Raw genomic sequence first — 13,103 nt, 5'->3', positions numbered from 1 at the left:
TTTCCCACTTCATTTACTTCATTTTGTGCTCCATTTTAGCCTTTTTTTTTTTTTTAAACCATTGTCTACCATATTGGCTGTATTATTGTCAGTATTCAATTAGGGTCTTTTGGACTGTAACAACAGAAAAGAGAACTCAAACTGGTTTAGAAAGTTATTAAATGGATTTATGTCTAATAAACAGAATTTACTAGCTCATAAAGAGAAAGTCCAGGATAGGGTAGCCTTCAGTGCTGTTTGATGATGTCATCAAGGACCCATGTGATTCACTTCTGTTTTTTTGCTCTGCAAGCCACAGTTTTGGCTTCACTTTAAGACTGGTTCCGCTTGTGGTTTTAGGACAGCTGCTGGTAGCAATCAAGTTTACAAGTTGCTTGCTTACAACCCTTGGAAAAGTAACTTCCTGGGGCTTTCTTCAGAATAAAGAGAAGTTTTCCAAAGCCTCTGACAGGCCTCTCATTATGTCTCATTGTCTAGAAGTAGGTCACATGCTCAAGGCCAAACCAACCACTGACCAGGAGGAGTGGTTTAGCTTTAGCCCAGTCAGGCCTACCCCTGGATTTCAGAGTGGCGTCAAATTCTCCTGCGTCCTGTGATATGCATGATACAGACCTAAATGAAACTGGCATTCTCTTGGGAAGGAAGAGTGGAGAATGGGTGCTGGATTGCAACTAACGGCATCTACTACACTTTCCAGGTAGTTATAAAAGTAGATAGTTTTAGAAAATTTAAAAGCCATAGGAAAGAAAATATTTTGTATATTTACAAGGTATGAGGTTTTCCAGGGTGAGATTTAGCAAAGTTCATAGAACAATGGAACTCAATTCTGCCACTAGTAAGTAAGTTGCAGAGTTTAGTTTCAAATACAGGTGTATTTGAGTAAAGGCTTAAGCCTCCTCTTTAAACTTCCATTGCCTCATCTTTAAAATGGTGATAATACATAGTTTTTAGGGCTGTCAGGACTGGAAAGAATGAGTGCAGGGGAACTGGCACGTAACATGGGATCAGTTGATTGTAACCATCACTGTTTGTAATAACGGTGTATGTGTGTGTGTGTGTGTGTGTGTGTGTGTGTGTTGAGAGCTAGTACAGCAATTGACAATGTTTGGATGATCTCCATTTAGGGGAACAGCAAAGATCTGGTTTATTTAAACTGTTAAGCTTGGTATCAATCCTTGGCAAAATTCTGTATCTGGCTATATAACAATGGAAAATTAAAGAATTCAGCAATGGTCAGACAATGACAAGCATCCCCTAAGAAGGGATCATACAAACAGACTTCGTTTCCTTTTTGGATACCAAGTTGGTCTATATGGAGGCCATGTTCCCCAGAGTATGGTGTGTACACTATTAGAAGCATGTGGCTGTTCATTGATGTCACTCACTGAAATTGAGTGAGCTACTGAATTGAGCTGCTATTGGGATTAAATATACCACTGAAAATTCTAATTGTCAATGACCAAAAGATTGATCCTTTGGACACCTGAATCCTTTTTAAAGAAAGGGATTTTAGAGATCTCTTATTCTTAACAATAAAGAAAGGGATTTTAGAGATCTCTTATTCTTAACAATTGGTGGGAAGATCAAATTAAAAGAAGGAGCTATAATAGTGTCATGGCTACCCTTAAAAATTATCTTGACTAAGTCAAAGATCAAAAATCTGACCTAAAACAGTTACACTCAAACTGCCCACTTTGAACTCCATTCAGGATTAACATGGAGGCTAGTCCATTTTGTAGTTTGGTGGTTAAAATTCCCATCATGGCTTGGGTTGTCTTCCTAATGAGGAATCGGTCCCTTTTGGTTTGATATTTCTGTTGACTTGAAATATCAGCTGTTTCTCTCAGCTAAAATCTGGTAATAAATTACTTGAAAAAATTTTTAAAAAGAGTCCTACTGTTAGAAGTCAGCTTAATTAAAAGCTGATAGATTTATATAAAATATAAATATATATATTTACATATAAACACATACCTATACACATGCACATTTACATATAAAATATATATACATATACATATATAAATAAATATATATACTATATATAAATATATATATACACACATACATATATAAAATTTAAGTCCTTTCTGCTTTTTCTTTTTAGATCCTGTTTTGGAAACATTTTAGTGGACTAAAACATCTTTTTCAAAAAAAGAACACATGTGCTTAATGCCTCTGTTCATTTCCTTTCTTAAAAATTGTTCTCCCATTTTACTTTTACTCTTCCTACTTCTTCTTCCTCTTTGCCATATTCAGTATTGTTTGAAAAGATCTAGAGAAGACTCAGACCCCTTTAGGAACCCGGAAAAATGTATTACTCACCCCTTTTGTGGAGGTCTTCCATTTTCCTTGTGAAGATTCAAGAGTGATGGTCTTCTTGGGTCTAAAGCTCTGCCCTCTTTTGAATTGTTACCTAATCTCTTTGGCTTTTGTGGGGGGTGCCAGAAATTACATTATATTGTGAGAAAACTAGACTTTGGTGTGTGTAATGGTTGGGTAAGAGATACAGTTTTAGAGGTGGCTGATGGAAGTTGTTTATGGTAAATGGTCATTACTACAGAGGGCTACTTGCTTCTTGCACATTTGGGTTAAAAAAAATGTGGTTTAGGGCCTGGTGCAGTGGTTCATGCCTGTAATCCCAGCATTTTGGGAGGCCTGAGTGGGCGGATCACCTGAGGTCAGGAGTTCGAGACCAGCCTGGCCAACATGGTGAATGTCAGGCCTCTGAGCCCAAGCTAAGCCATCATAACCCCTGTGACCTGCCCGTATACATCCAGATAGCCTGAAGCAACTGAAGAATCAAAAAAGAAGTGAAACAACCAGTTCTTGCCTTAACTGATGACATTCCACCATTGTGATTTGTTCCTGCCTCACCCTAACTAGTCAATCGACCTTGTGTATCCCTCCCCTGGACAATGAGTCTCATGATCTCCCCACTGTGCACCTTGTGACCCTGTCCCTGCCTGCAAGAGATAACCACCTTTAACTGTAATGTTCCACTGCCTACCCTAATCCTATAAAACTGCCCCACCCTTATCTCCCTTTGCCCACTCCTTTTTCAGATTCAGCCCACTTGCACCCAAGTGAATAAACAGCCTCGTTGCTCACACAAAGCCTGTTTGGTGGTTTCTTCACACGGACGCGCGTAACAGTGAAACCCCATCTCTACTATAAATACAAAAAATAGCCAGGTGTGGTGGCTACTTGGGAAGCTGAGGCAGGAGAATCACTTGAACCTGGGAGGTGGAGGTTGCAATGAGCCGAGATTGCACCACTGCACTCCAGCCTGGGCGACAGAGTAAGACTTTGTCTCCATCTCAAACAAACAAACAAAAAAGTGCAGTTTAGGCCCTAAGAACTGCATGCTTTCTTTTCCCTATTCACTAAAGGGCTCCACCCAAAAGCCAGTAATCTAATAGAGAAGGAAGCCAAGCAAAAAAGCCAGGATTGCTCTGGAGGTACTTAGGGAGTCTAAAGTGAGGGATTATCTCATTGATTAGTACTTTTATCATCTCAGGGGCTTTCTCTGTCTGACATGAAATTGCTTCTACCTGGTTAGTGAAAATATCTATCCACACTAGGAGGACTGGATGCCTCTTGCCTTTGGCATATGAGTGAGATCCATTTGCCACTCTTTTTCTTAGTGGCCTACTGTCCTTTGGGTTCCTGGAGGAAGAAGCTGTCAATTGAGGGGATTATTTTTCAGGCAGTTCTCACAAGCAGTAACAACTCGTTTAACCATTTGTATTAGGCTTTTACCTGAGAACAATCTCTGGGCCAGTTGATAGGTTTTATCCTTACCTAGGTGGATGGCCTGGTGAAGGCTTTAAAAAATTTTCCACTGGTTGGCAGCAGGTAGATGAAGTTTACCGTGCTCTGATTGTAGCCATCCTGAGGACTGAAGGATGTATCCCTGAGAGGTGGCCCGTTCTATTTTTGCGGGAGAGTATTGCAGTTTTATTTCTCTGATGAGGCCCTCCCAGACCAATGGGACTTCAAGTGGGTCAGAGACCTGGGGACCCCCTGGCTGCTGTTTTAGCTGCTTAGTTTGCCAGCCCATTTCCCTCAGCTATTTCATCCATCCCTCTTTGGTGGCCTTTACAATGTATCACTGCCACTTCCCATGAGAGGAAGACTGAGGATAATAGGCTGTTAATTTCCTGATGGTATTCAATAGGAGACCCATTAGCTGTGAAGAAGTTCCTCTCTTTCCAGATAGTGGCATGGGTGTCAAGGACTAGGAAAGCATATTTAGAATCAGTAGATATGTTAACTGTCTTTTCTTTGCTTAGCTTAAGTGCCCTCTTGAGGGTGATTAGTTCGGCTGGTTGTGCCTGAGGAAAGAAGTGCATTCTCAATAATATCGTTTAGAGTAACTATTGCGTAGCCTGCTTTGTGGGTTCCTTGTTCTACAAAAGAACTCCCATCTGTAAAGACAATCTAGTCTGGGTTCTCTAAGAGAGTTTCCTTGAGGTCCTCTCTTGCTGCTCAAGTTTGTGCTACTATTTGTTTGCCGTCATGCTCAAGTTTCCCAGCTTCATCTGGGAGGAAGATGACTGGATTTAGGGAGGGACAGTTTCTTAATTGGACCGTAGATCCTTCTAACAATAGAGCTTGATGCTTGAGGAGACAGTTGTCTATTAGTCTTCTAGGAGACTATTGTCTCTCAGAAGACAGTAGTCCTGCCACATTGTGCAGGGTATAAACAGTTAAGTTATTCCCCATGGTCAACTTAGTAGCCAATGGTATCAGCAAGGCTTCTGCTGCGATTGCCTGGAGGCAGGCCAGCCATCCTCTGGCTACCAAAATGTGCACCTTACTTAGGTAGCCTACAGGCTGCTGGGCTGGACTCCAGGTCTGTGTTAGGACTCCCAGTGCCATTCCCTTTCTCTCTGTTACACAAAGATTAAACGTTTTCCCTGTGGGGAGACTGAGGGCTGGTGCCTTAAGCAAGGCTTGTTTTAGTTGATCGATGGCCTTTTTAGCCTCCAGCTCCCAAGTTAGACAGTGAGTTTTAGCTGCCTGAGTCTCCTTTATTAGATGATAATAATGAAATAGCTGAGCTATTTCACTGTGCCCAGGTATCAGTAGTCTGCAGATTCCTGTAATGCTCAAGAATCCCTTCAGTTGCTTGAGGGTTCTGGGGAGGGGAAAGGAGGAGATGGGTTTAATTCTCTCTTTGCCTAATGTTGTGGTCCCCTCTGACAAGACCAGGCCTAGTTACTTCACTCAAGACAGACAGAGTTGAGTTTTGGTTTTGAAACCTTATATTCTCTGTTAGCTAGAAAATTAAGGAGAGGCTTACTGCCCTCCTGAGAGATTTCCTCAGTTGGAGCACGGAAGAGAAGTTCATTACCTATTTCAAGACCTTCACCTAAGGATAAAGGAACTCAGAGAGGTCGCTCAATAATGCCTGCCCAAACAAGTGGAAGCTGTCTTGGAATCCTTGAGGTAACACCGTTCAGGTTAATTGGGTGGTTTGGTTAGAGGGATCCTCAAATGCAAACAAATACTGGGAGTCAGGGTGTAATGGTATGCAGAAGAAGGCATGCCTTTAGGTCCAAGACTGTGAGCCATTTAGTCCCCTCAGGCATTTGGGCTAGCAGGGTATATAGATTGGGAACCACCAGGTGCATTGGAACCACAGTCTCATTAATGAGGCAGAGGTCCTGAACTAGCGTCCATTCCATGTTGGGTTTTCATACCCCTAATATCAGGGTATTACAAGGGCTGTTGCAGGGTTTGAGGAGGCCCTGCATCTTTAAGTCGTATATCATGGCTTCTAGCACTTTCCTGACCTCTGGTTTCAGGGGATATTGTTTCTGGTTAGGAAAGGAGGTGAGATCCTTAAGATGGACCCGGACTAGTATGGCTGTCCAATTTTCCCTCAAGTTGCCCAAACTTCTGGGTTAATATCAGCCTCCATTAGGGGGAGACAAAGAGTTTGCCCAGGGGACATCAGAATGGTGTTCCCCGTACGGGCCAGGATATCCTTGCCCAACAGAGGAGTTGGGCTTTAAAGCATAATTAGAAAAGCATGAGTGAACAAAAGGTCTCCCCAGCTACAACTAAGGGGTTGAGAGAAATATTGGGTTAGACGCCTTCCTGAGCTGCCCCTCATGGTCATGCTGAGATAAAAAGGGAGCCCAGATTGGAGAGAATTGAGAGACTGGCTCTAGTGTCCAAGAGGAGGTCCTTTTTCCTCCCTTCAATTTCCAGAATTACCCAAGGCCCCTGGATGGTAATGGTTGTGTAGGCCACTGGAGCCGGGAAGAGGAGTGCCGGGACCCAGAAGTCATGCTGCTGGACCATTTGGGAGATTGGTTCTAGACCCAGTAACCAGCATCCCTGGGGAGAGTCCACTCTCCAGTGGTCTCCATTGCAGATTGGACAGGGTCGGGGTGGCTTCCTCATGCCAGCTGGGCAATCCATTTTGAAATCTGTAGCAGTTAACAGGTGCACCCTGGGAATTCTGGGGTTTGTGGGCTTGCCTGGCAGCCATTAAAGCCTCCATTTCCTGTATTTCCTCTCTCTTTCCTGGGCCTCCCTGTCTCTATTATAAAAGACTGAGGTGGCTACTTTCAGGAGGTTCTTTAAAATACTGTCTGGCCCCAGGGCCTGTTTTTGTAACTTCGTCCTGATATCAGGGGCTGCCTGAGTAATACATTTATTCTTCAGGATTAGTTGTCCCTCAGACGAATCAGGAGACAGAAAGGTGTGCTTTACCCAGGCCTCGCTTAGCCTTTCCAAGAAAGCAGTGGGGTTTTCATTGAATCCCTGGTTGATCATGGACAACTTAGTATAATGGAGAGGCCCGGTCCTAGTTCTACATAAGCCTTCCATTACACGCACCTGAAAGTGTCTCCTCTTCCAGTTTTCCATTTCATTGTTGGGATTTCATTTAGGGTCATCCACGGGTACTGCTTCTCTTCCAGTTGGATAATGTTCGCCCCCTTCTCTGATGCCATATGTGATACAAAGCGCATCCCCAAATCTCTCTGCTGCTTGCAGAATGGCCTGCTTTTCAGTATCCATCAGGGTTTGATTCAGAAGTAACATAACGTCTCTCCAGGAGAGTTCAAATATTTGAGTGAAATTCTGGAAAGTCTGTATATATCTATTAGAGTCATCTGAAAACTTGCCAAGATCCAACTTAATTTGCTTTAAGTTTTGTAGGAGAAGGGGACCTGGACCTTACTGGGCCCAAATACACTGGGCATCTGTTGGAGGGGCAAGAGGGAGACTGGGGCTTATTTAGGGTAAGGATTTCTAGGAGGGGGCAAGTAAGAGGCAGAAGCTGGATAGGGAGGTTGAGGTGGATCCAGAGGAGCAGGGCTTGAGAGAGCTGGCTCCTCTGCTGGGAGTGCCTCTGGGATTTGTATCTTTAATTCCCCGGGCTTGCCCCTTGCAGCCTTCCCTGAGACGGCAAACAGGAGGGCTGGATCAATCCTACACTGTTCGCAAAGGCCTGGATTGCCTTGCAAGGTATAGAAAGTCTGCACATATGGGGCCTCAGATCATCTGTCCTCATGTCTACAGAAAAGTTCCAACTGCCAGATGGAGTTGAAATGAATGGTTCCTTCCTGGGGCCAACCCAGTCCTTCATAATTTGGCCAAACCTTTGTACAGAGGGCTATGAGGCATTTTTTCCTCCAGATTCTGAGGTTAAAGCAGTGCCAGTGGTTCCGAATACACTCCAGAGGAGTATAAGCTGGGTATGGTGAAGCGATCTGGTTGTCCATTCTGAAAGACAGGGAATAGAGGTCTCCCTCATTCCCTTCCTTCTTTCAGTGAAAACTCAGAGTGTGATGGAGCGAGAAAACAAGCATTCCCCCTTTCCCTTCCACTTATTTTATCCTCGAGCCCGGCAACCTTGGCACGTGCTGCCCATAGATACCAATGTGGTGTGTACCCATGAAGCAGGGAAGACCTAGAGAACAGGAATTAACCACCCTCCCCTATGCCTCCCTTTCTCCCTGCTGTCGACAACCTTTGAGTTCCCTGGGCCTGTTTAGCCCACGGAGCATGGCCTCCTTCCATGGGGTGGGGGGTTCAGTCGGCAGGAATTGGTCCTGGCCATTTACATCATGCCTGTTGCCTGGCTTTGGATCCCTGACCTGGTTTTTCTTTTTAGGGCCTCAGCCTGAAGCTTGGAATTGAGTTTAGGACTGAAAAGGTATTTCAGAGGCTGTTTTGTATCCGTTTAGAGTGTCTCAAATGAGCCCTGCTGAATTTGCAGTTATCAGCCAGCCTGGGCTATTCCCCCATTAACTTCCCTATCAGAAACAGTGCTGGGAAGGGCGAGCCCTCTCACTTAGAAAAGGAAAAAAAGAAAGAAAAAAAAAAGAAAAATAGAAAAACAGGTTCAGGGGCAAAAGGGGAGGTCCTGGGGGAAGAGCCCCTGGCTCAGGGCAAGTGGGTTCCATTAATCCTTGTATTCTTCCCCCAGATCAGACTGGGTTGAATTCCTTGGCCAGGAGAGGAAAAGTTCCATTGGTGTGGCGGGTGAGAAGTGCCCACCCTTCAGCCCTGTGGGGTGCCACCTACTGCTGCAGTTTTCTCCTGCTTCCAGCTCATCCCAGGCTATGGAGGTGGAGGCAGCGTGGGCCATGGCGGCACTTCTCCTCCTGCCCCCTGATGGCTGTTGGGCATGACCTTTGCATGCCGTGAACATGCCCAGGCCCCCAACCTGGGAGGGGATAGGCTAATGAGAGGTGCCTTGAGCCATGGGTGCCTGCAGCTGTCAGGGCAGGGGAGGAGATTTTACCTCTAACAACTGTTGGTCTGATTTGCACCTTTGGTGGCTGAGCCGAATAATCATTTTACTTAGTAACATTGCCACAGCCTGTAGCAAAACTCTTAACATTATAAAGGAAGAGATAAGAGCCATTTCAAACTGTGAGACAGAGAATGAGAAAAGAGATGGAGTCTGGGGATTCTGGCGGCCCGTTAGGGCAGTTAAAACTCCATGAAGGGAAACAGAACGTTTTGCCTTCAGGAAAGAGAGACAGGTGGCAGGATTTTGGAAAAGAGGCAGATCCAACAGTTTCACTTTTGCACTCACCTTCCGGGATCTCAGGCAAGGCCCCAGTTGAAACAGGAAGAGTTTCCTTATTCCCCTCACAGGGTGTGTGACATGGGGACTGGCTGGCTTCTTCAGCGCCCTGCAGTTCAACCCCCTAGGGGGAGAATGCAGATAGGCAGGTCGTGGGGAACGTGGGCTCCAACCTCACGGCATCATCTAGGGCTGAGTGTTTACAGCTCCTGAAGCACCAGTGGGCATGTGTTACAGTGTCCTCTTTCAACTTAGCCATCTGCACTCGTCTTGTGTTAATCAGCTCAATTAGACCCTCTGTCTTACTGCAAGGACAGAGGGCTTTCTGTATCCCGGGGTTGCCCTAGTGTACTGGAAAAATCTGTTTATACGCGGGCTTGGAGAATAAGTCCAAGGTTTCATTGAATGGTGGAGGTAGCTCTCAGCAGGTGGATGGAAAGCCAGAAGGGGGATGGAATGGGAAGGTGGTCTTCCCCTGGAGACAGGCCACTCAGCAGCTGGGCTCTCCTCTGACCGCCCTCAGCCAAATTTCCCTTGGCATCCGCGTTGTTCTGTCATGGATGGCCTGTCAGTGTCTGTGTGTTCTTCTGCTGGTGTGTTCTTCTCGACATTTAGCCGCTTGTGTATGTACCCACTAGGGTCTCAGGGTTTTTATAGGCACAGGATGCAGGGAGTGGCAGGCCAGGGTTGTCTTGGAAAATGCAACATCTGGGCACAAAAACAGAAATGCCCGCCCTCACCTAGGTCCGTGGGCACAGGCCTGAGGGTGGAGACCTAGCCAGGGACCCCACCCTTCTCTACCCAGCACTTCCCTGCCTCCCTCTCATATCATAAGCACCCTCTCTGTAAGCCTAGGGGCTATCACAGAAGAGGTAGGCACAGGAGATTATACGGACTAGTTTCGAGGGAAATAATTAGTTCAGACCCTCCAAATCAAGGACCAACACACAGATAGCACACAGACACACAGCTGGCAAATTGAGGGACTTTGCCTCCTGAGTCATTATGTGACCTCCTTTTCATCTATCCAAACCATAAAGAATTTCCTGCTTCCCATAGACTGAAAAGAGAATTACCAAGAGGATACCAAGATACCTGGCAATAGAGCCTTCTGCATATAGTTGTTTTCAGTTATGGGGTTTATGCAAATAAAGATATGACAAAAAAATTTGTTGGCCACCTTAGGACAAATTACTAAAAAGGTGTCAAGCATTTTGGCATAACAAAAGCCTCTAACTTCTTAAGCTTAAATGGTTTTAGCAAAATGCTTATGTTTTGTACATCTCATTGCTACCAGTCTAACTAAAACCAAGATTATGGCAGCACAATGCATAGAATTTATAGATAAGCCAATTTTGTAACCTTTCTTTTTGGCTTTGATTTTTGGCTCTTACATTGCTTAAAAGGTTTTAAGGGTTGATAGATACCTGTCCACCTCCGTTCCTGTCTGGAATGATGAAATTGGCTGTAAGATTTTTGGCTCTAAGTCTTTTGACCACAGGATGGGTCATGGACAGGACGGACCTGGGGCGGGCAGCAACATCATTCTGACAATGATACGGGACAAAATAAAGGTTTGGCCATTGATGCTGTCTGTGGCAAATCTTCACCAAAAGTGGTGAATGAGAAATAAAAGTAAAATTTTAAGCCCCCAGTTGACTGAACAGACCCCTTTCTTGGCTGAAGGATCCTCAGAAAATCCTTCAAAGCTGAGTTCCTGGTCATAACCAGATGGGGGGTTCATAGGTCTCATTATATCCCCTCTCTTGCTAATGGCCAGTAGGGTTTCTTCCCTAAGGGCTGAACAGAAAACAGTCCTTTCAAAAGTCTCCACACTGATAATGCTTATTCCTAGCTTATCTCTCCAGGTAAGGAACAAAGACAAGATAAGATTAATGGGTCCTGCACCCCACCCTGAGACGTCTGCTTGTCTTGTTCCTCTACTCTCTTTTCTTCAAGGGCTTACATATCTATGTCAAATGCAGACTTATTGAGCACGAACTAAAGTCTCCAAGTATGTAATCATTTGCTTAACTGCTTCCTCTTTTTAGTGGAAAATGTGTAAATATTAAACCTGAGAGTCTCTTTGGAAAAAACAGCCACAGACACATCTATGATTTGCCTATTTCCCGATGTGCCTTCAAGCTGGCTCAGTAAACCTTGATGGATGGAGACACCTACCTCAGTCACTCATTTTGGTTGTCAACCCTCAAAGCCCACTTTTCTCTCCATGTTGTAGCAATTGTGGGCTTTGTCCTCTAACACAGAGTAAACAGATTGTCTCTGTTCTTTCCTGCTTTTTCCACTTTTGCCTGTCTTATCCATTAGTTTCCTTTAAAAACATCTTTATGAATATACAAAATAATTTGAGGCAATTTAAAGAAAAATATTAAATGACTAATAGTGCAGGTGGTATGCAGGCTTGGCACAAATTATGAAGAGAGTGCAAAGCTGACCAAAGTGCGGAGCAGGGCCGTAAATATAAAGTTAGAAAGTATCCAGAGAAGTCATTTTGGAATGATGGTAATGTACTTGCTGGAAGACAAAACTCTGAGGTAGAATCTCAGCCTATTGAAGGGTCTGTGTTAGCCTCAAAGGAGGAACTTACAGTTGTGTCTAAAAGACTGTTTCTAATCCTATTGTTAGCACTAGGGAACATCTTTGAGTCACACGACACCAAAGTATGTTAGCAGTGGCGAATCCATATGGGTCTGCAGCAACCTCAATTCTTGCGTGGTCAGAAGAAAGAATTTGACTGAGGGGCATAAGGCAAAGTGAGACAGAGGTAAGTTTTAGAGCAGGAGTGAACGTTTATTAAAAAGCTCTAGAGCAGGAATAAAAGGAGATAAAGAACCCTTGGAAGAGGGCCAGGTGGGTGACTTGAGATCAAGTGTATGGTTTGACCTTTTGACTTGGGGTTTTAAATTTTGGCATGCTTCCAGGGGGTTGTGTCTCTTCTCCCCTGATTCTTCCATTGGGGAGGGACTGTCCACAAGCGCAGTGGCCTGCCAGCACTTAAGAGGGGCCGCGTTTTCAATGTGTTTGCTGGAGTTGTACGCATGCTCACTTGAAGCATTCTTCCCTTACCAGTCCAGTGTTCCCAGAGGGCAGTCATTATATTAGTTCATTCTCACACTGCTATAAAGAACTACCTGAGACTGGGTAATTTATAAAGAAAAGAGGTTTAATTGACTCAGAGTTCTATGTGCTGTTCAGGAGGTATGGCTGGGTAGGCTTCTGGAAACTTACAATCATGGTAGAAGGTGAAGGGGGAAACCAGCACATCTTACATGGTGGGAGTAGGAGGAAGAGTGAGAAGGGGAAGGGGGAAGGGCTATACCCTTTAAAACAACCAGATCTCATGAAAACTCACTATCATGAGAATAGCAAGAGAAGAAATCCACCCCCATGATCCAATCACCTCCCACCGGGTCCTTCCCCCAACACTGGGGATTACAATTCAACATGAGATTTGGTGGGGAGCAAAGAGCCAAACCACATCAGCCATATCCCAGTTAAACTCCACCAAATTGCTTTTCAGTGTGCATGCTTGAGCCCACTTGCCTAACTCCTGAGATCTTATTGGGAAGCTGCTGGTCATCAGTTTCAGGTATTTCTATCTATTAGGAGACTGTCTTTCTCTGGTGCTGGCTGCAACCAATTAATATTTTAGAGAGACAGTTAACAACCACCTGGCCATCACCTGCTGGTCATCTGACATTCCTAGTTGAGGGAAGGGGGCCCTCTCGTGCCCTGCTCATGTCTAAGTAGCTACCGATTATAACACTATTGTCAGTAGCATAAAATATTTGACAACTGTCACTCAAAGAAAGCACTCATTTATAGCATTTTCTAATTTCCATAGTGCAAATGCTCTCAGGATGGTTGATTCCAAGCTAATGACTTGACATCACTATATACGGATTTGAGAAGAGAGGTGTATACCTAGCTCTCAAAAGCTTGTGCATAACATACCACTGTCTGTTCTGGTCACTATTTGATTTCTGGGATCCTCAGTTTCTTAAGAAAGGGAAATAATTATATT

The 13,103-nt window shown here is 44.5% G+C and overlaps 2 annotated features.

Moving 5' to 3' along the window:
* Nucleotides 8,150-8,682: an enhancer, noted in NCBI's record as "NANOG-H3K4me1 hESC enhancer chr17:13826355-13826887 (GRCh37/hg19 assembly coordinates)". NCBI's record gives its function as "activates a minimal SCP1, AML or CMV promoter by ChIP-STARR-seq in primed H9 embryonic stem cells {active_cell/tissue: H9 hESC(primed)}" and the evidence as "EXISTENCE:reporter gene assay evidence [ECO:0000049][PMID:30033119]".
* Nucleotides 8,683-9,215: an enhancer, noted in NCBI's record as "NANOG-H3K4me1 hESC enhancer chr17:13825822-13826354 (GRCh37/hg19 assembly coordinates)". NCBI's record gives its function as "activates a minimal SCP1, AML or CMV promoter by ChIP-STARR-seq in primed H9 embryonic stem cells {active_cell/tissue: H9 hESC(primed)}" and the evidence as "EXISTENCE:reporter gene assay evidence [ECO:0000049][PMID:30033119]".

Source organism: Homo sapiens, chromosome 17 (assembly GCF_000001405.40).
Source record: "Homo sapiens chromosome 17, GRCh38.p14 Primary Assembly".
In the NCBI taxonomy this organism is placed as follows: domain Eukaryota; kingdom Metazoa; phylum Chordata; class Mammalia; order Primates; family Hominidae; genus Homo; species Homo sapiens.
This window is presented reverse-complemented; position numbering and strand designations above follow the sequence as displayed.